Source organism: Homo sapiens, chromosome 6 (assembly GCF_000001405.40).
Source record: "Homo sapiens chromosome 6, GRCh38.p14 Primary Assembly".
NCBI lineage: Eukaryota > Metazoa > Chordata > Mammalia > Primates > Hominidae > Homo > Homo sapiens.
In genome coordinates this window covers 162,358,551-162,386,162 of record NC_000006.12, presented here as the reverse complement: position 1 = coordinate 162,386,162, position 27,612 = coordinate 162,358,551, and the positions used below count along the sequence as shown (strand labels likewise).

Below are 27,612 nucleotides of genomic sequence, written 5' to 3'. Positions count from 1 at the left end.
ACTGTAGTCCCCATGCATGCAGTGTAATTTAAGTCAGCTAAATATTTAATGATTGAGTCACTAGGAGATGGTTGACTCTATATTTATATGTATCCTGCATCTGCATAGGCACCTCTTTTTTTAAAAAAAATCAAAATACAATTGGCGGGTTAGTCATTTATAGAAATTGATTTTTCCAAGATTATACTGAGCTTGTCATTCTCAATAGGACAAGAGGACCTATTTTACTTATTTTGACATAGATGAAATTTGAAGTTACTTTTTGAAAAACTTTGGAATCTGAAACTTTTTTTTTTAGGGAAAAAACCGAACTGAATAACATTCAAGTTGGTTTTTAAAAGATTGAAATTAATTTCCTTTTGTTCAGAAAACAATATATCATTTTTATTTTCCCAAAGAAATCTGTGAAGGACCAAAAAGTCAGGGATGGATTCAAGCAGAATGAAGGTAATAAACTTTCCCTCCCACTCCATCGTGTCTGCATGAAACTCAGTAATGAGCACAGGAAGGCCTCTGCCTGTGGTCAGCCTTGTGAAGATGAGAAAGGAGAGCGGGAAAGGACCTGCTGAAATAGCGCGCAGTCAAGTTATTTAAACACCACGGTGTCACATTTGATGTTTGGGATGAGTTAGATCTAACAGATGTTATCCTCCTCAGGATAGTGCACATATCAAAGGGAGCAGTAAAAAGCCACCGCAATTAGCTCTACAAGCCGTTAATGATATTATCAGGTTGGTTATTAATAAGTAATAGAGAAAGTTTTTGTGTGGTGACATTTATGTATGATTGTCTTCCTGTTTTATTACTGGAATGACTAGCTAATATAAAAGCTGTTAAATGGTTCTCTTTTTGCTTTATACCATGTTGGGCGTACAGGGGTTGCAGATAACTGGTGTGTTTATGTTATCTGGGTGAAGTGGCATGCAAACCTGCTACCATTGGTGGTTAAAACTTAGTTTATTACTCAATTCCTTGAGGGAATGGGGACATACTCCCTATTTCACTTTCATGTGAGTTCCATAAGTATCTTGATGGTATTTTCAGGTTTTTTAAAAAGATAATTAATATGATTCTGTATGTCTTTGTTAAAGAAATAGAATAGGCTGCAGGAGTTAAATTTCATGAGGGGGGAAATACTATGTCTAAAACTACTTAAGTCATGACTTTACTGTGATATAAACATAGGCCCCTTCATACTAAAGTGGGACACAGAGCAACAAAAGGGAGGGGAAGGCAGGGTATTTTAGTGAAAATAAAGACTTCGAAGCTAATGTAATGCTGCCTCTGATGCCTACTTACTCTACTTCCTTAAACAAATCATTTCTCCTCTCTGCATTGCAGCTTTCTGACCTGTGAAATAGGAAAAAGTAATACCCGCCATATAAGACAATTTAAAGAAATGCAGCGTGTAATAAATATTTGCTGGTATCACAGGCACAGCTCATTTTACCATGCTTCCCTTTAGCATGCTTTGCAGATAATGAGTGTTTTTTTTTTTTGTTTTTTTTTTTTTTTACAAATTGAAGCTTTGTGGCAACCCTGTATCAAGCAAGTCTATTAGCAGCACCATCTTTCCAACAACATGTGCTCACTCTATCTCTATCATTTGGTAATTCTTGCAATATTTTAAAGTTTATCACTTTATCTGCTTTGGTGATCTGTGAGCGGTGATCTTTGATCTTATTGTTTTGGAGTGCGATGAACTGCTCCCTTACAAGGTGGCAAACTTAATGTGTGTCTTCTGACTGCTCCACTGACCAGCAGTTCCCCCACCTCTCTTCCTCTCCTTGGGCTTCCCTATTCTCGGAGACAAAATAATATTGAAATCAGGCCAGCTAATAATCCTACAGTGGCCTCTGAGCATTCAAGTGAAAGGAGGAGTTGCAAATCTCTCACTTTAAATCAAAAGCTAGGAATAATTTAGCTCAATGAGGAAGCCATGTCCAAAACTGAGACAGGTTGAAAACTAGGCCTCTTGTGCCAAATAGCCAATTTGTGAATGCAAAGGAAAAATTCTTGAGGGAAGTGCTACTCCAGTGAACACATAAATAATATGAATGTGAGACAGTCTCATTGCTGATGTGGAGAACATTTTAGTGGTCTGAATAGAAGTTCAAGCCAGTTACAACATTCCATTGAGCCAAGACCTGATTCAGACAAGGGTCTAACTCTTTTTAATATCATGAAGGCTGAGAGAGGTGAGGAAGATGCACAAGAAACATTTGAAGGTAGTAGAGGTTGGTTGATGAAGTTGAAGGAGAGAAGCCATCTCCACTGCATAGACATGTAAGGTGAAGCAGCAAGTGCTGATGTAGAAGCTGCAGCAAGTCACCCAGAAGTTCTGGTTATGATCATCGATGAAGGTGACAACAGTAAACAACAGATCTTCAGTGTAGATGAAACAGCCTTCTATTGGAAGATGCTATCCAGGACTTTCATAGCTAAAGAGAAAAAATCAATGCATGGCTTCAAAGCTTCCAAGAACAGCCTGCCCTTTTGTGAAGGGCAAATGTACCTGGTGACTTTAAGTTGAAGCTAATGCTCATTTACCATTCTGATAGTCCTAGGGCCCTTAAGGATTATGCTGAATCTACTCTGACCTTGCTTTGTAAATGCAACAACACAGCCTGGATGATGGTACCTGTGTTTAGGGCATACTCGAGTGAATATTTTAAGTCCACTGTTGAGCCTTACTGTGCCCTAATGCTCAGAAAAAAATGACTCTTCAGAACATTACCACTCATTCATGATGCAGCTGGTTACCCAAGAGCTCTGATGGAGATGTTCAAGGAGGTGAATGTTGTTTTCATGCTTGCTAACATAACGGTCATTCTGTAGCCCATGAATCAAGGAGTAATTCTAATTTTCAAGTCTTATTATTCAAGAAATACATTTCATTAGGCTATAACTGCCATAGGTAGGGATGCCTCTAATGGAACTGGGAAAAGTTAATTGGAAATAATTCACCATTCTAGATGTCATTAAGAAAATTTGTGATTCATGGGAAGAGGTCAAAATATTAACATTAACATGAGTTTGGAAGAAGTGGATTCCAGTCCTCATGGATGACTTTGAGGTCTTCAAGACTTCAGCACAGGAAGTCATCGCAGATGTGGTGAAAATAGCAAGAGATCTAGAATTAAATTGGAGCCTGAAGATGTGACCAAATTGCTGCAATCTCATAATAAAACATGAACAGGTGAGGAGTTGCTTCTTACGGATGAACAAAGAAAGCAGTTTATTGAGATGGAATGTGCTCCTGGTGAAGATGCTGTGAACGTTGTTGAAATGACATCCAAGGATTTAGATACTGCATAACTTAGCTGATAAAGCAGTGGCTTTGAGAGGGTTTGAGAGGATTAACTCCAAATTTGAAAATACATTCTACTCTGGGTAAAATGCTATCAGCATCATATGCTATGGAGAAATCTTTCATGAAAGAAAGAGCCAATCAGTGCAGCAAACTTCACTGTTGTCTTTTTATAAGAAATTGCCACAGTCATCCCAACTTCTAGCAACCACCATCCTAGTCAGTCAGCAGTCATCAATATCAAAGCAAGACCTTCCATGAGCAAAAAGATTACAGTTGTTGAAGGCTCGGGTAATTGTTAGCATTTTTTAGCAATAACGTATTTTTAAATTAAAGTTTGTATGCTGTTTTTATATACATAATGCTATTATACGCTTAATAGACTACAGCATTGTATAAATGTAACATTTCTATTCACTAGGAAACCACAAAACTTGTATGCCTCCCTGTATTGCTATATTCACTTTACACAGTGGTCAGAAACTGAACCCTTAGTATCTCTGAGGTATGCCTGTACATGTTCCTCAAGTTTTCATTATTATTTAATTATTCAGGAAATGTATTTAATTGGATTTCCATTTCTAGTTAACAGTTGCTTCTTTTGTGAGATTAATATTATTTGCCTGGTTTTAAGGATTTGTTTTGGCTGAGATGGATCATCAGCATCATTAGGTGACTAAATACGTCTTGTACTATTTAACCTTATTTATGACTCTGAGTGGGGGAGAATACTACCGATTATAGGATAAAATAAAAATCTAGTTTTAATTATCAAAAAGTAAATGCCAGCAAAATCTTGCTACTTTCTCAGAAAGCAGATATCCAGAAATTTTTGACCAATAACCCCCTAAGTGTGACCCACGAGTCTGGGAGGTCTGCTTGTGTGTCTCCTGATCTGCAATTGTGCTGTGTTATAAGGGAAAAAGAAAAACAATTCTACTAATGAATGCAGTTTTCCTTATTCTGTTGAATTTTTACTTGGAGTTATGCCTGAAGTCTAAGGACGTAATGTGGAAAAGAGAATGTATATTAACTATCAGTATAGAATATTAATGGCCTCACTCACTTCATCCACCCAGCTATTTGTTAGCACTTTATTTCTTTGGACTAATAAAAAAAAATCAGAAAAAAGTGCGTAATGGTAAAAACATATCATTTTTAACTGAGGCATTTATAAAGAGATAGTGGGGGGGACAGGTATAGCATTTACCAGAGATAGTCTCATCTTTTGAGAGTATTGTGGTGTTTAATATTAAGGACAGCTTATACACAATAGAAACATGATAAATGGAAACATCTTTTGTTCCACAGATGGGGATTTTAAGCTACTGTAATTATAATGAGGGTATAAGTGAATGTAATTAAGTTACACACAAATTCACCTTGGAGGTAGCTGTAAATTGCTTACTAAAAGTATCACTTAGAGAGGAAAAAGTAAAAGGTAATAGGCAGCTGCCAGTTCATCTCAAAAATCGAATTGAGTGGGGAAAATTAGGATACAGAAGATACTGTGAAAATTTTTTACATTACTGAAAGGGAGGAGGGCAACAATAGTTATAGAAATATAATTGAAAAACAGGGTAATTTCTATTTATTGCTGCATGCTATGAGGATGTGACGGGGGAGTAAAGAGAACTTTAGGAAACATCAGGAACTGTCTTCCAATGGAGACGATGCCCAGACACTGTCTTTTGAGCTGAGTGGAATGACTCAGGCTAGGAAAGGACAAGGACTTCAAGGTGGGGAATCAAAGATGCAGGTGTGCTCTGCAGAGGAAGGGACACAGTGGGCTTATCCAGAAATAGCTGGAAGAGGAAGAACGGTTCGCCTGCGGATCCTGCTCTAAGTCTGGCTGAATCCATGGCGGTTTTCCTTATCTGGACCACGGCGGCCACTCTGGTCGCTGGACTCTCCCATGTGGCTGTTGTAGCTTCTCAAAAAGGGAGGCTTGACAGTGGCCCAGAAAGACTGCCCATAGGTCCAGTGATACAGACTCTTAAACACCTTACTTCCTTATTTATGTGCTGAATGTCTTCATTTCCAACACCTCCCATTCACTGAGCGCCAGTTGAAATTGACAATTTGAAAACAATGCTGCAAGGTGGAATTTTTCAAGGTTTTTTTTTAAACAGTAGAGAGCATTGAAGCCCACAGAAGTATATTTCTCAAGGCTTATATCTAGCAAATGATAGAATCTGAATGAGTATCTTTAACTCCAAAGCCACAACTCCTTCCACTACTTGATACCACCTCTCCTGTGTCTTTGTGCAAAGCAAATTGGTTCATGCAGCCTTGATGTTAATGATACATATATATATGTATATATACATATATATATATATACACACATATATATGTGTGTATATATACATATATATACACACATATATATGTGTGTATATATACATATATATATATACACACATATATATATGTGTGTATATATATATATATAGCTTTAAACTATTATCCAGGTACACATTTCCTTTCCTAAATGAATAATGAATACTTGCTGTTCTCTATGATGATACCAACACCCATGTATTCAGAACTCTGTGTTCCTTTGAGAAATCTCTTCTGTAAACTGATGACATGTCACATTATAATGCTATCACTATACTTGATTTCAAATTTACTTGCCCTAATAAGCCACATCAGCATTTAATTCACTATTTACTACCCAAAGTGCCAAATTACAGTCTATTAGATGAAATATTAAAATGGAAGGTACTCGATAAAGTACAGAATATGGCAACATAATTTTAAAAAGATGTTGCATTCCAGTATAATATACTAGTGGGTGTCTTATACCCTGTTTATCTCTGGATATTGAATTGTTTTGACAGCTGTATGCACAAGTGAGTCCCGCAGGGTTTCTGTTTACATTAAAGCTTCCAAACGCTGTCTCCCTTGGATTGGAATGACTGGTTCACCTCGGAATTCAACCTCTCTGCCGGCATGTTCATCAGCTACCTCAGAAGTCTTCTCTGAAATAAAAAGCAGATATTGTATAAGGCTACTAAATTGAATCCAAATGCTCCATTTCATTTACACAAGCATTTTTTTAAAGTGCCTTAAAATCTATTGTCTGCTCATACCATGTACTGTGACAATCATAATGGAGGATAATATGTGACGTCCCCAGGAGACGCCAAGGAAACCTGCCTAGCTCTGTCCACATGCATGCTCTCAGGACCTTTGGCTTCACCAGCCAGAGGCGGGTCCATGCGGGAAAGGCATTGAGGCTCAGTTTGGGAGGTGTCGGATGGGATCAGAATGATACTGGAGAGGAGAGTTAAGGGGATTAGCCTGACCCTGAATGGGAGATTTATTTAGAAACTTGAAGTAGTAAGATAGTTGAGTTAGTATTTATTTAGTCTTGAGGGGTAGAGAAAGAAGTATGTCAAATATCTTTCTCTTACCCCTTCTAATCTCCTCAAAGCCCACAAAAAGTAGAAAATGTAACTGCTGAATACAAGTAATCTCCCAATTCATAGATCTGGGCCTTTCAGAAGGACAATGAATTGAGGACTCCTACTCCCAGCCCATAGGAACCATGTGAGAAATGGGAATTTATCACTCATGGAGTGATGAGACCTTTGTAAATGCTGGTATCCAGCCATCTTCCCAGCTTCCCTGGCAATGGCACTCAAATTCAACAGTTCTTAAAATCATGTGGTCAAGCAAAACTTTAGGCCAAATATAGTTTAGAGATGTTTAGACCTCTGAGAGAAATAGAAGGAAAACATTGACTTGGTTAAAATGTGTAAGAAGGGGAGAGGAGTTTAGAGAATAAACAGCTTTGATCTATTTAAAGTATTTGAATAAAGGCCTGCCAGTTGTTTTCAGATACTTGAAATGTGGCTTCTCAAGGTGAGTTCTTGATATTGAGTCACTACCAAGCTTCCATTAAATAAATCATGGCACCTCTGTGTTGTTGCCTGTGGCTCTGCAGAGACAGCCAAGTGTGGAATCCCCTTCCAGGTCTTATTTGGGGGCATTTTTGAGGAATCATCTTAAAACTGACCCCAAATGCCCCATTAGAGGCTCCTTCAGGTTTAGAATATGCAGAGCATAAGTTTCCTAAGTAGTTGTGGTTTTATGGTAAGCAACTAAGCAGACCTTTCACTCAGCATGTTCTGTTTCTTCTTGTAATAAAGTTTAAGCTCATTTAACAGTTCTTGAGACTGCCAGGTAGAACAAAGGCCATTTGAATTCTGTGCATAGGCACTTGATAACTAGCCTCACCAGTCTTATTATCCTGAAAATACAAGACTAACTATAGCAGACGAAAGCTTGAATAATCATGCCTTAAAATAAACTGGATTAATAAAAGTGGGAAATTGCTTTTGCTGATGACGTTGCTCTTCTTACATAGAAACATCCGTTGGCCTGTGGGTGTTCAGGCCCCCAGGGGCCCACCTCATTGAAAACACATTAAACTGTACTTTTGGTAGCCGCTGCTAAGTGGAATCCAGTTTTCTCTCTGATAATTGTTTTGTCATCTCCTTTATGATCTTCGATTAGACTGATAATCTGGGATTTAGGAAGAACGAGAGACAGAAAAAAGTATTCTTGAAACCCAAATAAATTGTTTCACTTAAAATAGATGGCAGGTTTATTTCAGCACTTGCCTTGTTTCCCTTTAAATTTCTGTCTCTTCTCTGTCCTTTTATTCTACACATAGAAAGAAAGGGGAGAAAAGAACTCCAGATAGATGGTCTTTCTTTATCTCTTACCTTACATTTGTAAACCTAGCTTGATTTCGTGATGTTAAAGTATTGCCTTTGACCATGCTGTGTGAATCCCGACGAGAAAGGGAATGGATTGTACCAAAGGGAGTGAACGATGCCCACACTCTGCTGGGAGAGACTGGGATCCTCTTGTTTTACTAGGCGTTCTCCCAAGCACATGATGCTTTGTTTTTCTTTCCTCCTCTTGCCCAAGAACCATCTGGCTTTCACTTGAAATTCCACATTGCCTTAAGCATGAATAGTTTGGAGTATTAATAACCAAAACATGCCAAGCTCCAATGGTCAACTCTAATACCTGCTGGGGTATTGCTTTGGGTTGCTAATCTCCGTGCTGTCCTCTTACTCTCCCGATTAGCACTGCCTGGTTGACCAAGGTAGATGGTCTCATATGACTTACATGCCTGTCCCAGTGCTGGCAGCCCCTTCTGTGATGGTTCAGTCTTTCCATGGCCATGGCATGACATCAGGGAGCCGATCTGTAGGCTGGCCATGGGCCTGTGGCGTGTGTTGGTCTAAGAACTCCATCCAGTGTGATGAATCGAACTGAATAGATCCCCTCTTTTGGACAGTTTGAACTAGATTCAAGGAGAATTTTAGTCTGCACCCAGAGAAATCAAAGAAAGAGACAAAAGGAGTGGCCCCCGTCAGGGCACTCAAGAAGGCAGCCAAGAATATCTGCCTCTGGGGTTGAAACCATGAGAAGAGCTGTGGTGTCACCGAGCGTGGTGTCACTGGCCTCTTGGCCAGTCCTCTGAAGTGACTGGTCTTCCTTAATGCCAGCCCAGTCCTCTCTGTCTGTATGGAATTTGTATGCACATTCTGTGTTCCTTACACATTCACATAGCCTAGTCAGCCTACCAGTCTGCAGATTTGGATTTGAATATTAGTTCAACCAAGTTACTCGGAGCAGAAATACACTTTTATTACTTTAGAGGGTATTGGCTAACTGTATGGATGCACAGGGAAATGAGTAAGAAACAAAAAGCATCACCCTCCACCATCCTCTTAGGATGGAAGTGCAACCAGAACGTCCTCGTTCATGATTTGGGACCCATCTGTAGCTGCAGCGGTTCCTGCTAAGTGGGCACTGTGTCCAGCGCATGACTCAAGTTGTTGCTGTCTCTACCTCCCAGACTGGGCTTCTCCTCCTGCCTTTACTTTGTCTTCCTCCTCCTCTCTCCTCGTGGTCTCTTCCTACCTCTCTCTTTCCCTCTCCCTCTCCCCCTCTTCCTCCCCCTTTCCCCTCCCCCTCCCCCCTCCCTCCCTCTCCCTCTCCCTGTTCTTCTCCTTCTGCCTCTCTCTCTCCTCCTCCCCTCCCCCTCCCCCTCCCTTTCCCTCTCACTCTCCGTCTCCCTCTCCCACTCCCTCCCTCTCCCCTTCCCTTTCCCCCTCTCTCTCCGTGTGTCCATTTCTTGGTTTCGGCACTACTTTGCTGTCTAGTATGTTTACACATTTAATATTCAAGCTGTCTGGGAGAGAAGCATTGCCTGGTGTAGTAACTCCCCTCTCTGGAGGCCCCTGGCCCCAGGTATTCATTTGTAGGCTGCCTCTCTCTCAGGGGATGACTTCGGCTCCTCAGTGCCAAGGAGAGTAGGGTCATCTTTGCACAGTGGCTGCGTGTACAGCAGGAATACCCTGTATAGCTTTTCTACACGGCGGGGAAACATGAATGTGAGGGATTACAGTGGTCAGGCTGTGGACCCCACAAACATAAGGATCCATGTGGATATGTGTAAAACTGGTAATATAATACAATTTGCCACTCTAGTGTTCTTTTTTCTTCTTCTGAGTATCTTTTTCAACTTCTTTTATGGCTAAATTCAGCGTATTCTAGGATGGGTAAAGTAATCAGGAGTAACAAAATTCCCTTATTCACACAAGGGTGCGGTCTGTGTTCTTTGGAGGCAAATCCTGTTGTCACTGCCTCCTCCAGTGGGTGTCTGGAGCTCCAGTGGGCATGAAGTTGGGGCAAATGAGGGAGACAGAATCTAGTCTCCCAACTAAGAAAACACTATGATATCTGCTAAGTATTAGAATGAAGAGCTGAAGAGGATGTTCTTGTTTCTCAAGAGTTGGATTCCTCAATCCTCTAGCATGGAAGCTTCCCAGGGAGGATGGTGATTAACTGGAGTTTTGAAGAGTGTGTACACATTCCCAGATGCACAGGGCACAGACAGGGGACTCAGACCTAGTAGCTGATGTCCCAGACAAGAACCGTGGGTCCATGTCCACCCAAAATTCAGTGAAAAGTATATTTACTTGTGTATATGTGTTATATGTTAATATGTATATATATGTATATATATCTAGAGAGAGAGAGTGGGGTGTGTGTTTGTGTGTGTGTGTGTGTGTGTGTACAAAGCCATATTTGTATCAGATTGGCAGAGTCTTTCTTGTACTAAGGAATTTTCAAAACCATTTTGTAAGTACATGTCTAGTATCCCTATCCAAAATTCATAGGACCATAAGTGTTCTGTATTTCAGACTATTTTTCTGGAGTTTTGAATATTTACAGTATACTTAACTGGGTGAACATTCCAAATCCAAAATCTAGAACGTTCCAGTGAGCATTTCCTTTAAGTATCCTGAAACAACATAAGCAACTCCATGCAGTCTATGACACATGTTTATTAAACCATGTTAAGGCTCTTTTGTAGACACCAAATACAAAAAGAAATGGAAAAAAAAAAAAACAGGAGTTGATAAGCAGATATGGATCTTCTTACCCGCTCCCCACCCCTACTCCAGTGGCTTTTTTGAAGTATTTTTTGCTTGAAAAAATACCAGCTTGAGACCCTGGTTACTCATCACTGTGGCTCACACTTGAAGGTGTTACATGAAGTTTAGTCTAAAGCTGTTTCATTCTATTTATAACGTTTGGCCTAAAGATTTTGTCCTTCACTCTTCTCAGGATACATGACTTATTAGGTCTCTTTTTCCATAGTTTAAAATAAATGGGACAGTCATTATAAATGCATCCCTCATAATAGACTCCATAAGAAATTCTACTACAAAGACTATTGTTACACAAAAGACTAAATTCTGTTACTAAAATTGTTCCTAATAATAAAATCACACTAGATTATCCATTGACTACACAAAAAGAATCTGTTTTGTTATGAACACTTTTTGTTATACATAAAAATTATAAAGATTCAATTGTGAGAGATTAACAGACTACTTGGCTAAAACAAATACTATTTATCTAACTCACGTTTAAAACTCTTCAATTTTAATTGATTCATAGAGACTCTGACCAGAAACCATATTTCAAACTCTTAATATTATCTTCCTAATAGTCATAATAGTAGCCTCCCCAAAATACTATATTTTCTCAAATGTTTACATACAGACATCTATAAACTGTCAACTGGTCCCTCTTCAACCCAAACAACAAAAACTCCAAAAAGTGATCAACAAGTCACTGTAACATATAAGACACACTGAGACCGAAAACTGAAAATAATAATAGCTAAAAGTACCACGAAGCCAACAGTAAAGTTTGGGTCACCCTCTCACCTATCCAATAAATGAATAAATAAATAAATAAACAAACAAACAAATAAATAAATAAAACATAAAATTATAAGAGGCTATTGCTTTTGACTAAACTCATGTACTAGGCTCCAACCGACCAGACCAAACCAAACTAAAGTCACTCATACTAAATATCACATAAACAAACTAAAACTTAAAAAAAAAAAAAAACTATAGCAGACCAGGTTTTATCTCCTAAAATCAAAAAATTTCAACACACAGAGGTTCCTTCTACTCTAATCCTTACAGAAAAGTAACCTAAAGTCCTTCTTTTCACTTTACAAAACCCACTATCCAACTACTTCCCAATAAAATTTAAAACTGTGTGAATATGTTTATAATAGTGACAAAATGTCATCAGTGCCTAGAGTTTTGGTTAACCCCTCATGATTTTTGGAGGTTGACCATAAAGAGAGAATTGTTAAAGCAAATTTAGCCTAAGCTGCCTCCTTGCGTATTTTAAGTCTGGCCTAAAGTTTTCCCTGTACAGAGTAAACTGTGTAATCAGGCTATAACCTCCTCTTGTTCCAATCACGAAGATCACCAAGTTTTGGCCTCTGAAAGGTGACAAATTCTTCAAAGCAGTTCAAATAGACACCAAGGTGTAACCAATACAACTGTTTGTGTACCTGACTTCCATTTTCTGTACATCATTTTCCTTTTTTTTCCATAAGTCTTCTTTGACCACACAAAAACACTAGTCTCTCTAAACCTATTCTAGTTTGAGGGCTATGTGATTCACTTTACTCAATTAAACTCTATTAAATATAATTTTTAAGTGCTTTTTTGAACAAAGGTTTGTGACTGTAAATATTTAATAATTTTCTTTCTTAAGATGTTGTTAAACTTGTTCTTCTATGTCACCAGGAACAAAAGATATGTAAGAAGGGTATTAAAATTTCCTATATAAGGGTATTAAGAATTTCCTATAAAGGAAGTATTACATAGGCAGTCATCAGTTTCTCATAACTTTCTTTTTCCCAAATCCCAACAAGAATTCCTAATTCACTCAGTCAAAATATTGCACATTTTAGCTTCATAAGTTATGAAATTAAGAAAAAAAATCAATCCCTTACCCGTGTTGGAAAAGAAAGTACTCAGGGTTCTGGTTAATGTTTAAGGAAGAGGTTAGAAATGTCAAATAACAGGTCAAATAAGAGTTATAGATTAACATCCAACAAAGAAATTGTCCAAGAACCATAGTTTATTAACTCAACAAACACAAAAGAGGCTTACTACTACTTATTGACCAATAAGTTGTAAACTTAAAATTGCCAAACTCACCTTTACATAGCCAAATTTTTCTCAAAAGAAAACTTAAACTTGCAATGAAATTCTGTTTTACATGAAAGCTCCGTTGAAGTAGCTATTATATTACTAGTTACACATCGTTAACCATTTAAACCATTATTTTTTTCCAAATATTCTGTTCCAGTTATTCAGGTCTCATTAGTTGTGGTAGGTAAATGTACTTTCTCCTCACTGTCTTAGTCTCTCAAAGAGATCTATTAATTATTTTTAGTGCTAGGGAAGGGAATTGACCTGAAAAAGTACTCCTGATAAAGGTGCATGGTCTACATCCACATAAAATTGCCTACTCCTCCGGTAGTTGACACCGTGATAAACAAAATCAACACATCTAGAGAATCTTCCATTCTACATACTCAGTCTTTTTCTCCACTGAAATTTCTTGCCTCTCTTGAAAATGATTTTTTAAACATGATATGGTAAAGATACACGGGCTTTAGTGTCAGGTACACCAGACTGCAAAGTCCCCTTCTTAACTGTATTTTAAAAAATTTTATTTATTCATTTATTTGTAATTTACAATTTTTTATAATTTCAACTTTTATTTTACATTCAGGTGGTACCTGTGTAGGTTTGCTGGATGGGTATATTGCGTGATGCTGAGCTTTGGGGTTCAAATCATTCTGCAACGCAAGTAGTGAGCATAGCACCGAATAGTTAGTTTTTCAACCCTCCCTCCTCCCTCACTCCCCTCTCTAGTAGTCCCCAGTGTCTCTTGTTGCCATATTTATGTCCGTGTTTACCCATTGCTTAACCCTCTCGGAAGTTATTTTTCTTCTGATAAAATGGAGATGCTAATACCATCTTACAGGGCTGTCGTGAGGATCGCATGTGTAGCACGTGTGAGTAAACTCAGCGCCGTGAATGGAGCACAGCGTGTAAATGAGAGTGTCCCAGAGTCTCCAGGGACAAGTTTCTGGGATGTTTACTTCTGCCTCTGGCCTGGAGGTTTGCATGCAAATAGACCATTAGAAATAATGGACTGCTTACAGGGACACAGCCACTTGGCACTGACTTCCGTCAAATCTCTAGCCAAAGATGTTCCCTGGCTGCAAAACGACATGGAATCTGTAATCCTTGTTTTCTCTATAGCTGTGCAGGGACAACAGACTGAAGGACAAAAAGTAGAAAAGAAATTAAGGAAACCAGTATGTCCTTCAGGAGGAGGCCAGAAGGATGGCGTCCACTCCAGCTTTCTCCTGGGCTTCCAGGAGGCTGGACAGAGGGCATCTGGCAGCAGCTCCATCTTCTTGAAGAGCTTTGTGCACTTCTGTCAAGAAGGTGCTGGAGCAAAATAATCTGCCAATCATGCCCTTCTAATGTTTCCACTTCAGCAAGCTCATTCATTTCAAACTGAGGAGCCTCAAGAGCCTCAACATCCCACAGGGCTGCCATGTTTGAGGAAGGCGGAGAAGGGACCCATAGTAAGAAGGGGAGGTGAAGAAACATAATAACATGCTGCTGTACAATTACCCAATTTGTTGGCATCACAGAACTGGAAATAGAAGTGATGAGTGGAGCAAAAATAAAGGTTAGGATTCTTAGGCAGTGTACACAGTACCATTGAGTACCATTGTGGAATGGATGCCATAAATAATAATCGCTAAGTTTTATCGAATGGTTATTATATACCAGATAACACCTTAATTGTGTTATTTTATTTGGTCCTCACAGCAACCAGTGGAGTAGATAATGTTATTCTCATGTTTATAAATGAGGAAACTGAGTCCAGAGAAATGAAATAACTTGTATTTAGGGTCACCCCAGTAGAAAGTGAGAAAGCCGGGTTTGAAAGTCTGATGTTCACATCCCAGAATTCAGCTGAAATAATACTTAGGAAGAGTCCTGTGTGTGTTGGCAGTCAGAACTCGCAAAGCTGCATGAGGGCGGCTGTGAGTCACCAAGAGACTCTGATGATTAGCAACACCTGGTCACCACACTGCTTTCTAAAGAAGACAGTTCCTATTACCTGCAGGGTGCTGCTTTGTTGCCTGAGGATTTGGGTCGGGGCCCAGAGTGAACTGCTTGAAATAATACATGAGCACTTAGCAGTGTCCCTTCTTCTCTAATCTGTCCCCAGGAAGCATCCCGCCTCTCCTGGGAGCAAATGTTGAACAAATGGATTGAAAGGATACCAAATAATTATCTTGCCCTAAGCATGAATCGCTTCACCTTCCCACGATGGCCTTCTGTCTTCGTCTGGCTTTGACTTGGGTCAGGATGTTTGATAACCAGTGATGGCCATTGGGCTAATAGCAGTAGCATTCTGGACAAGAAGCCATGTACGGAAAACACCCATTTGGCTCATAAGTTCTGAGTAGCTGCGTTCCATGCTCAGTACCATTTGTTCAATGATGCCCGTGAGCCAAGCTGTTGGTTTTTCAGTATCACTCACTAAACTCTTTTTCCAGACACAAGAAGTCCTATAGGACTCTTAGTGAACTACTAATATCCCACATAATACTACCATTCATATGCCAGGACATACTAGTAACATCTACTCTGGAGATGCTGATAACTCAATTAGTTGCTATGACTGTATTCATTTGTAGTGCTTTACATAGGTTGGACAGAGAAATATTGCATGGAATAAGTAAACGTGAATTTCACTTTGGCTTTGCCACCAGCTTCCATTTTTGTAAGTTCATTTCTCCAAGAAATCTAAGTAGATTCACCTTTCTTTCTCTCCCACCCCTCCAATTAAAGTAACCATTATGCTAGTTTAATGGGATAAGTAGTACTTTTTTCATCTTTTGTTTGGTAATAAAATGTAATTTGGGGAAATGAAGTTGTTTCCTGGATACCTCAAGCCAATAAAATAGTGACACAAGGACGAATATTTATACAACATCCTTGGTTTTTCAGTCCAGTGTCCTTATCTTTTGCCTTAGTTAGTGATGTTAAAATGCTATGCCTTTTTTTCTATATTAAAAAAAAATCTCTGAATTCGAAAGGGTCAATGAGATATATCTCCATGAGAGGCAACATCCAAATCATCTGCCAGGTGATCCCACCTTGTCACAAAGGATTGTGACTGACAGCAGAAAGAAAGCAGGCATGAGAAAACGAGATGCAGTCAAGAGCTGACGATCACATCAAAAAGGAAAGAAAGGTGAAACATTTCGACTACAGTGAAATTTGCTGTTAAGCTTTTTCTATGGAGAGAAAAGCTTTCTTCATAGAGAAAACCATATTTCAAGAATTACCACTCAAAAAGCGTAGGTGGCCACTTGATGATAGAGAGGCCATGTGTACTCATTCTTGATGACAAGTACAGGGTGACCTAATTGGGGGCTTTCACTCCAGCAAACTGCCCCGATTCCACTGACCCCATGACGAGGATGCTTATTTTTCCAAATAGCCACAAGTCTTGAGGCAGGATACCTTCAGGGTTGGCTAACTCAGCTCCTAGGTCTGCCATCCTTAGTGCTATGCAAAATGTAGACGGGCTTTGTAGGGGAAAAGGGGTTATTTCTGTTATTATAAAGAGGGGAGTTCACCTAAACATCATCAGCTACCCTGTTGTTGGTTCCTATCCGTGGATGCTAATTTCTGCCAGTGATCTCTGCCCTGGGGAGGATGAAGAGCTGAAATACATTTAAACTACGTACTCAATAGACTGTTGGACTTAATTTGAAACTAATATCTTTACTTTTTTCTCTTTGTGAGTAAATAAAACCCTTAATTGACATTACCAGATGCTGAACTAGACAAATGGCTGATATTTTTGTGGAATGTGTACAATTGTATCACCCACACAAATTGGCTAATGATCTAAATATTTTTTAAAAGACATTGGGTAGTATAGTAAGAGTCACACCTGATGTTCAAGGGTAGATTTATGGCACTGTTATCTTTTAATCATGTGAAAATTTTCTCAGGTGGAATGATATTTCATAGAACTAGAGTTTTCTTAGCTAGAGACGGCACAGCACCTCCAACTTTTCTGTTTCGAGAACTGCCTGTTCCCTTGTGTTCCCTTGACCTCAGACAGTGAAATGACATTTGCCAATTCAATATAAAAATAGCAACAAAAGAACTTATTCCAGAAAGTTTCCTGTTTTATTTCTTTTTGGATACATATTTGAGTGGGATTTTGAAGCTAACCTGAAGTATAAGGGAACTTCATTATGGGTTTATTTGACTTACTATATGTCACCTTTGCAACCAACAAGCTTATGCTTTATTTCATTTTCTGTGAAAACGAAGGAAATGGGCAAAAATCTCACCAAAATATGGATGGGGTAATGAGTGCTAGTGTCCATGCAACATGTAACCATGGCTTAGCTGATAAAAAAGAAATTCCTATTGATGTTATCTTTTTAATCACAAGGTAATTGTGCTGACAGCTAAGAGAACTAGGCCAATATTATAAGTAGCCTAAGGGAGCAGCAGAGACACAGGTTTGGCTCTCTGTAATTGTGAAAAAACACTTGGTTGTTGGCATCACAAATTATGCTATATCAATTAGAGAAAATATTTGAAGGACGTTGAAGAGTTGAGAGCAGGTGACTAGCTAGCTGCCACTAGTTAGTTGTCTGCATTGAGGTATTGCTTTGGCCTAAATCCTTTGCCTTTCTTTCCTAGATGTTCTATACATTCAGTGAGAAGTCAGCCTGTGTTTGCATAAGCATTTCTGTCACTGCCAACCCAGCTCTGATGACAGAGTGTGAGCTTCTGTGCTGCTGGTACCTTTGGGATTCGTGCTGACTCGTGACAAGCCTAGGAGGGCCACAGAAAGAAGGATGTAAGGATGTAAGAAGGATGACCTTCCATGTCTTCAAGAATAGTTGCGTTTTAAGAAACAATGAGACTTCCATGTCCTGATGGCAGTCGATGTAGAAATTCCTGGCATTTGGCAACAGCATGGAATCACATTCTGTAGTAATACAAAGAGTCTGGCTTCTGGCTTCTCAGGTAGATTCAACAATGTCAGCTCTCCTGGTAACTGCTCTAAAAATACATTTTAGAGTCATAAGAAGCCCGGTTTTGACCCCTCACTCTCTTACCTGTGTAGACACCCAGATATGCTCCATGCACTCTTGGGTGTGAGAGTGATTCCCTGTTCTCCCAACCCTTCCCCAGCCACGCCCTTTGTGCTGCTCCGCAATGCTTGGCTCGGGAGGAAACTGTATTTCCCAGATGCCCTTGCCAGCGAGTTCCTGTGACATCTGCTCAGTGGATCCAAAGGCAGGTCAGGGGAAAGGCGCTGTCATTTTCTCTTTTCTACCCTTCCCTCTCTCCTGCTTCTGGAAGTGTCTGTGATCCCTTCTCCATGCCACTCCTCCGTGACTGGGAGGCAGTGCCTTGGTGGTTTCTACCCACTCAGTCGGCCCATCCTCAGGGGTCCTGGCATGCACTCAGCACTCAGAAGTTCTGATAAAGTACTTTCTTGAGTTTCCTGAGTCCTGGGGGCAGTAGCTGTTTCCTACAGTTTACCAGGTGATCTAATCTCATTCTATCCCTTTTTTCTTTCTTTTTTTCTCTTTCTGCTCTGCTAACATTTTGTAACAGATTTCTTATATTCAGTGCACTCTTAAGAAGTACCTAATACATCTTGTATGTGGTGGGATTAATAGTACTTTAAATAGTACACACAACCTGCCTGTAAAAGGCCTGAAAAGAGCTGTGAAATAATTTATACTCCTTTTCTTATTGAGTCCACATTTAGGAATCTATCCTGTGAATGAAATCAGAGATGGTCCTGGAGATTTTATGAGCATGGGTTTTCATTGGTGGGTTAATTTTTAATAACAGAAAAAGGAATTACTTGTAGAACAATAGGAACCATTAAAATACACTCATACAAATTACAATACACATACACATTAAGATACTGTACCATTATTAAAAATCACATTTTCAAAAGAAAATGTTCATAGCATAAGCGAAAAAACAGTGTATTAGCCTGTCCTCACACTGCTCTAAAGGACTGCCCAAAACTGTGTAATTAATAAAGGAAAGAGGTTTAATTGACTCACAGTTCTGCATGGCTGGAGAGGCCTCAGTGAACTTACAATCATGGTGGAAGGGGAAGCAAACATGTCCTTCATCACATGATGGCAGCAAGGAGAACTGCCGAGCAAAAGGGGAAAAAGTCCCTGATAAAACCATCAGCTCCCCTGAGAACTCATTCACATCATGAGAACAGCAGGCATGGGGGTAACTGGCCTCAGGATTCAACTACCTCCCACCGGGTCCCTCCCGTAACACATGGGGATTATGGGAACTACAATTCGAGATGAGATTTGGGTAGGGACACAGCCAAACCATATCAAACTGTATACAAAAGAGTATGAGGGAATGTTGTATAAGGGAATAAACATTTTAATTTTTTAAAATTTATTTTATTTTGAGATGGAGTTTCACTCTTGTTGCCCAGGCTGGCATGGAATGGTGCAATCTCTAGTCACCGCAACCTCCACCTCCCGGGTTCAAGCTATTCTCCTGTCTCAGCCTCCCAAGTAGCTGGGATTATGTACCACCACACCCAGCTAATTTTGTATTTTTTATAGAGGCGGGGTTTCTCCATGTTGGTCAGGCTGGTCTCGAACTCCCGACCTCAGGTGATCCACCCACCTCGGCCTCCCAAAGTGCTGGGATTACAGGCATGACCCATCGTGCCTGGCCGGGAATAAACATTTTTATAAACACCACTTTATAGGTATGATCAAAGAAACATTTCTATTAACACACCTTTACAGGGAATGCAGTGGAAAGAAATCAGGCAAGTTTCTATTGGGGTGATTTTTATTTTCTTTTCTGTGTTTATTTTTGAAAATTTAAAGAAATGTCCACCATGACTATTTTTTAATAAGCAAAAGACAATTAATACATTTTAAAAGAATAATAGTTCTTATTATGCCACATATAATAATAAATCCCATTTGGATATAAGATCTAAGAAAGCCAACCAAAATCCTTTCAATCTTGTATAATAATGGAAGAAAACTAGAATGACATTCTGTAATCCCAAAAGATAAAAGAATAAAAAAGATTTTCAACAATGATTAATTTGGAGATAAAACACAAATGTGATAAATGTAAAAAGATTCTTTAGAACAAGGTGATTTTTAATTTACAAAAAAATTATTATAACCTGTCAAATTGGCATTATAAAACTGCATTTGTGGGAAAAGGGCCGTTGCCATAATATTGGTGACAATATAAATTGCCATTAAAGCTTTTTTGCAGTACCCATGGCAAGTACCCATCAATATTTTGTGTGTACAAATCTTTGGGCAGTAATTTTACTTCGAGGCATCTCTCTAATGGAAATATTTGTGTAAATGTGCTACAATCCAAGTTGAAGTATACTTCCATTATGCATCTTCTCAGTGGACGTTTATTGAGAGCCTATGATGTGGCAGACATTGTTCTAATAAAGGACACATTAGAGCATACCAGAGAAAAATCTTACATGAAAACAGTAAACAGTAAGAAATACATGAACAAGATTATTCCAGAGGGTGATGGGTGCTGTACAGAAAATAAACCGAGAAGGTATAAAAGATATTGACTAAGGATAAATTAGATTGTGTAGAACAGGAGCTCTAGAAAGACCTCACCAAGGAAGTAACCTTGGAGCGAGTGATGAGACAGCAGGAACCACCACGCCAATACCTTGGGACAGGACATTCCACAGAGATGCAGAGACAAGGTTGGCTTAGCCCAGGCATGGAAGAAAGGCCAGGGGCACAAAGATTTGGTATAAGAAGTTCCAGAGGAAGACAAAGACAGGTAGTAAATCACGTAAGAGTCCACGGGCTATAGTAAAAAGCTTGAAGTTGATGTACATATTTTTGATTTTGAAACAGTAAAAAATTAGGGGAAAATATTTCAACATTCATCAGTAGGGGAATGGTTAAATACATTACTGAATATAATCATCTTGTAAAGTACTGTCTAGACATGAAAAAAATAGAAAGCTCTGTATTTACTGACATGGAAGAATGTGAATCATGCTATTAAATGAAAAAGCACATTACAGAACAATACACTTACAAAATACAATATCAAAATATACATATACACACAGATAAAGGTGAAATTCAGAGGTGGGGATGTGGGACTTTGACTTTTTACTTTATACACTTTTGTGTGATTTTTTTAAATTATGGATTTATTTTATTATTGATAAAATATACAAAGGTTACAATACTCCTGATTGTAAAAAAAAATGCTTAGTAAAGTATATTTAGAAAACAGGGAAATTGGAACAGTTTTTAGCCAAAGAAAATCCCACACTACATATTGGCAAAAAAAAAAAAAAAAGAGAGAGAGAGAGAGAGGGAGAAGAGAGATTTCTATTCTAAAAAATGCCTTAGGGCTTGTAGTTTCTTATAACTTCTGTGACTACCTATGGCGTATAAGTATTAGATTGTATTCTACAAATTGACAGCCCAGGATCATATTCCTGGTTGCTTTGTTTTTTACACAAATATCTTTATCTGAACTCTGGCTCATTCTGGAAATGTAAGCCTCTCCTCCCTCTTCCTGATTCCCCTTCACACCCCACAACCATGTCAGTTGTGCAGCCATTTTCTGGTTTAAATTTCAGAACACATGAGAGGGCCCAGCTCGCCGCATGTTAAGATAATCCTTTAAAGGTTGCTGTCTGGCCATGTGAGCTTGCAAGATAAGGCACCGAGCGTGGGGCTTTCTTCATTTGAAAGAGTATTTTGAGAACCTTCTTTGATGTTTGAAGCCCCTTTTCTTCTGACCTCCCACTTGCCAAGTAGATACTTTCTTTCTTTCTTTTATTTTATTTATTTTATGTTTTTATTTGGGGGACATTTTACTCCCAGGGTAGTTATAGTCAAAAGGAAGAAAAGTTTGGAATTTCTTCTGTTTGAACACCACTGTGTAATTGGAAGGCGCAAGTCTCCACGACACTGATGACAACTCAAAAAAGCTCAAATTAAGGAAAAGTCCAGTTGAAAGGTCAAGGTATGGAAACAGTACAGATAATTATTTGGGTATTATTTTAAAGAGCAATGCATTGGTGAAATATTCATCATGATTGTTTTTGGATACATTGAATACCAGTTATTTATATTCTTGAATCATACCAGTGAATGTCTGTGTAGATGGTATTATCAAGTCTGGGGTTTGATTTTACCCCTCTTACAAATCAGTGAGCCTGCTACTGTATCAGGCTGCTGGTGGAAGACGTGAGTCTTGGGGCCAAAGGCAAAGGGCTTTATTACACAGTGCTCAGCAGTGCAGCAGCTTGTGTGCAGGGAATGAAGCAATTGGCTCAGAGGGAACTTACTCATGGGTGGATTTGCATCACAGCCGGTGAATACTGAGCTGGGACTACTGTTATAGCAAGCCGCATGCAAGCCTTTTGTCTAGGGGAAGACCTTGCCTTATCTCTTTAGGTTACCAGTTGCATAAGCAACCCTGAGTAATAGTCTGTTAAAAGCGGGCAGGACCTTTTGATCTTGGCAAGTCCAGCAAGATGTATAGAAGGGAGAGAGGCCCAAAGAGGACTGTATCTCCCAGTGAGTTGTAATTTTATATCACAATATCTAATAGCATATAATCCTGTTAACGTAGTCATGCATATTACATATGCATTTCAAATAATCTTTTTAAAAGGTTTTTGTTAACTGAAGGCATAATAGTAACAATGATGATGTCTTTGCTTCATTTTTAAAAAGAACAAGAAATAATTTGGAAAAAGTAGCATAGAAATGAAAGAAGAAAAATGTCACTTTTCTTGTGCTGTCAAGTTTGGATTTATAGTTCACTATGATTAAGTATGGAAGAATAAATAGTTTTCAAATAGACATATTTATTAGCTACTAAATGGAGGTATATTAAATACAGGTACCTCGATGGCATATGGGTTTGTATAGAAAAATACATTTTTTTCCTACAGAAAGGGGGTTAGTAGTAACACAGAACTTCAGATTCAACATAGAAACCAAATTGAATTACAGCAGCATCAAAAGATTTTCAAAGAGGGGCTTTGGACAATGTACTTTGAATTGCCTCTGCAGAACACTAATACAGACACGTGCCTGGGCAGGGGCATGGAGGGCCAAGTGAAGCTAACCCTCTTTCCCATAACTCAAGTCAGGGGAGACAATTTTTTTTTTTTTTTTTTTTTTTTTTGTTTGAGAAGGAGTCTCGCTCTGTCACCCAGGCTGGAGTGCAGTGGTGTGATCTTGGCTCACTGCAAGCTTTGCCTCCTGGGTTCATGCCATTCTCCTGCCTCAGCCTCCCGAGTAGCTGTGACTACAGGCGCCCACCACGACGCCTGGCTAATTTTTTGTATTTTTATTAGAGACAGGATTTCACCGTGTTAGTCAGGATGGTCTCGATCTCCTGACCTCGTGATCCACCCGCCTCAGCCTCCCAAAGCGTTGAGATTACAGGCGTGAGCCACTGCGCCTGGCCAGGGGAAACAATTTTTATAGAATAGTGTTTTTTATTGTGAAGGATAACTTTTTGTGAAATAAAGTTTTTTTCTGGGCTAGAGGAGGCTTCCTCACGTACCCTGGCCACCCTGAGTGCTTGTTCACAGTTGGTTTTGGAAGGGAATAGCAGAAAGAGCAAGATGAATGTGAGTCCGCCTCTTCCTACTATTGTTTCTTAATATTTACAATGTCTCCCATGTTAGTCTGATTTATCTAACAGAATTTTCTGCTATCCTAAAAGGAAGAAAAATAAAATAGAGAAACAGGTGTAATTTTCAGTAGAAATTTATTTTTAATATTATTCAATTTTAATTCAAATAGGATTATTTTTCAGTTATTTTACACGGCCCTTATTTTTGAAAGTTAAACTTGTGTCCGCCACCTCCCACCCCCAAATATCTCAGTGCATTACTATTACTTTTTTAAAGATAGGTAACTAAGCATTATACTATTTTGAGTTGTAGAAATGTGGTTTATATGTTCCAAATAGCTAAATTCTAAAATTGACAGGATACAACTTATCAAACATACAAAACATATATTTTACATGGTAGAGAAAAATAACGAAAACATTCTTGAGATGATTTGATTTTTCATAAATTAAATGAAGACTTGAGTCAATTTATAAATTGGCAAGTAGAAGTAACAGCATGTTCTTTGAGGCCTTATAATTTATCTACTGAACCATAATTTTATAAATGAGTATCCTTTTGATACTTCCCTTTGGAACACTGCATATTTGGCAAAATGTTTGGGATCTTTTACTTTTAAACATTTAACACACACGGTGTAGAATGTGAGCAATTCATTGTTGAAAATCTGAGAGCTGCACAGTCCCTATTTTTCATAATTCATATGCATGCCTTCCTTCTTTTCGGGGTGGAATTGTAATTGCCAGCTTTGGTTATTTGGTACTTTTTTCTTAGTAGGTCTTCAGCTGTTTCTCCAAGAATGTTATAGTTAATGGCCTCAAGGTTTGCTTTGATATCAGGCTGCACGTATTTACAGAGACTGGAAGTACGTGAGCAGATAGGACTCTTGGCATATTAACACTATAATTCCTTTAGTGGAAAAACTTAGACTTAATTTGAGCAGAACATCAAACCTATGCACAGCACACTTGCATCACTGCTGCAAAAATCAATGTGGCTTTTTTTATAAATAAAGAATAATTAAAAGACAAGCCAGAAAATTTCTCTCCATTTTCTCTCTCTTGGTCTGTCGGTATTAGTCTGCTCCAGCTACTATAAAAGAAAGTCTCATAGACTGGGCACTTAAACGCACATGTTTAGTTCTCTGAGTTCTGGAGGCTGGAACGTTCAAGATCAAGGTGATTGCTGGTGAGGCCTCTCTTCCTGGCCTGCAGAGAGATGCCTTCTTGCTGTGTTCTCACACAGAGTAGAAAGCTCACTCTTTTTTTTTCATCTTATCAAGCTTTCCAATCCTGGCTTGTGACCTCATCCTCGTGACCTCATCTAACCCTAATCACCTTCGAAAGGCCCTACCTCCAAATACGATCACATTGGGGGTTAGGGGTTCAACATATGAATTTTTTGAGAAACACACTTTGGTCCATAACCCTTTCTCTCTCTCTCTCTTTTCCCCTAATGAGCCACTCCAAATGCAAAGCGAACTTCTGAAGTAAAAATGTAGCCATCTGAACTTGACTGATGTTTACAAGTTATGGTTTCCTGGGTGGTGAAGGGCCTGTCTTCCCAGCTAAGAAGATGGATTGTCTTGTTTCACAGCCAGCATCAAAGGCACTGGATGGGATGCCAAAGTTTCTGATGAGAACATTTCACTTAAGATAAAAGGCACTTCTAAAATCCTGGAACTCTGTTTTGCTTTGTTTTGTTTTTCATTTAAATTTTCAGTAAAGATCAAAGCTGTCAAAAATTTAATTCAAAAACTCATCATTCATCCATGTTGTCTCTCAAAGGCCAGTTCCTTTATCCTTTTACCATTTTTAATCAGTATGTCTCATGCCCAGCACAATCAGAGGTGCAGACCCACTAACTCCATCGCTAAGCAGAGGTCTTAGTAAGCACTGGCCCGTGGTGTGCCACGGAAACATAGAAGTAATGAGAAAGGTGGAGCGAGAGCCTCACAAGGATCTTACCATTGTCGGTGTTTCATTGTCGGTGTTTACTTTTGACTTCTTGACCTCTGTGAAAGATTTCTGGTTTACATGATTTTGTGTTTGTAGGTTTTTTGTTTTTTGGTTTTTTTGTTTGTTTTTTAAAGAACAAATGACTTATTTTATGTGCTTATTTTTAATATTTAAAAAAGAAGAAAAGATGTCTGACTGTATCGAGAGTAGACAGGTTTTATAGGAAATATCTAAAAACAACTACATAAAGGTTACCATTCTTTTGAAAGGAAAGCCTTTCTCCTTCAAAATCCATTAATTTGTTTAGCACTTATTTTAAAAGGAAACTGAATAAATGCAAATGTTAGGGGATGTATATGTGAATGTGGCATTGTCCAAGTAAACGATTCACAGAAAAATTAGGAATTGTTGAAGAACACCTTACTGCAGTTCAAAAAAGTGAGTGCCATGGATTAAATAACAAATATTAAAAAATAAATGGACCGTAAGTTGCACTATTAGAAAGAACACTTTCTGTTTGTGTTATTTTTAAAGGGGTGCGATAAGACAGAGGAAACAAATTTTTCCACTTATTGTGTTCCAGGTACCACACACCCACACCCGCACCCACACCCACACCCACCCACACACACACACATATGTATATATAAATTATATTTTGCCGTATTTTAGTAAGTGAGAACATAAAAGTGAGAATTTGAAAAATTATAAAATATTGTATGACATGGGACGAGAACTGAGACAGTTTAGAAAACATTTTGAAGAATAAAACAATAATATAAGCCAATTATAAAAGATTTTCGGATAAAAATGTGTTGTATGGCATATTTGTTCTGTAGAATATTGATGGGTTCTTTGAAGAGAGGATGCCACAGTGAAGTAGTTTAGCCAACCCTTAACTAAACATGTATCTTTACTGTAGGAATTTTCCAATTCCATTAAGAGGCAAACGTCTATTCTCTATATAATAATCATGATTCTTGAACGTATTTGACCACTGAACAATATTTTTCCTTGCAGCAGATCAAGAAGTGGGTATTAAGACATTTTGGGAAATACTGGTTTAGCTGCCTCAAATGCAGGAAATAAGATCACTTATAACCATGTTTATGTTTTTTTTTTTTTAATTTTAAAAGGTATATTTAGTTATAGCAAAGAAAAAGGAATACTTAACTCATGGTTTTGTTCTGTTTTGAGAAAATACTGAGGAGATTTCATTAGCAAATTAACTCTTGTAGTAAAAAAGATTATTGGTTAAAAGTCAAGTGATTGAATTTTTTCCTGATTCCATTACTAAGACTTTGGACAAGGTGAGTTAACATCTGTCAGCCCCATTTTCCACCTCTGTAAAATGAATTGGCCATGTTAGGGCTCTCAAAACTCAACTTTCTCAACATTCATGGAGCTAAATTCTACCTAATTTTCCGAATGTCCTTGACAAACCAAATCTAGATAAGTTAATTTATTCAATCAGTCACCTCCCAAATATTTATTTACCTGGTGGTTTTCCTCTGCTGTGGCACTTCCAAGTACATCTGTTCCTATGGGGCTGATGGGCTGGGGAATTGGGAGAGATGATTTAGGAAACAAGTAAACAGATATGTGAAGAAAGTGATTTCATATATATATATATATATTTTTTTTTTTTTTTTTTTTTGCCACAGTGTGTCACTGTGTCACCCAGGATGGTGTGCAGTAGCACAATCTCGGCTCACTGCAACCTCCACCTCCCAGGTTCAAATGATTCTCCTGACTCAGTCTCCTCAGTATCTGGGATTGCAGGCAGCCGCCACCACACCCAGCTAATTTTTTTATTTTTAGTAGATAGGAGGTTTCACCATGTTGGCCAGGCTTATCTCCAACTCCTGACTTCAAGTGATCCACCCGCCTTGGCCTCCCAAAGTGCTGGGATTACAGGCGTGAGCTGCTCTGCCTGGCCTAAACAAGGTGATTTCTGATAGTGAGCACTACTTTGGAGAAAAAAATCTAAAATGATAAGATAGGGATAGGAGACACTTTATGATATGCTGCACTCTAGATTTAGAGAACTGAATGCATCCACTCAAGAGTTTTTAATGATCTTTAATAGTTATCTACTAGAACTATTTCAAAATTGGTGAAGTATATTTTTATCATGAATGTGGCATTGTCTTAAAGATAAGAAAC

The 27,612-nt window shown here is 38.6% G+C and overlaps 1 protein-coding gene and 1 long non-coding RNA gene across 7 annotated transcripts in view; both read left to right on the top strand.

Moving 5' to 3' along the window:
* Positions 1 to 23,013, top strand: part of LOC105369171 (uncharacterized) — a 59,560-nt gene extending 36,547 nt beyond the window's left edge. The window contains exons 2-3 of the long non-coding RNA XR_943200.3: positions 15,864 to 16,021; positions 17,497 to 23,013. This is a non-coding gene — a long non-coding RNA (uncharacterized LOC105369171). The remainder of the gene's footprint in view (positions 1 to 15,863; positions 16,022 to 17,496) is intronic.
* The window catches only part of PRKN (parkin RBR E3 ubiquitin protein ligase), a 1,380,350-nt gene that overhangs the window by 341,604 nt on the left and 1,011,134 nt on the right, over positions 1 to 27,612 (top strand). The window lies entirely within an intron of this gene.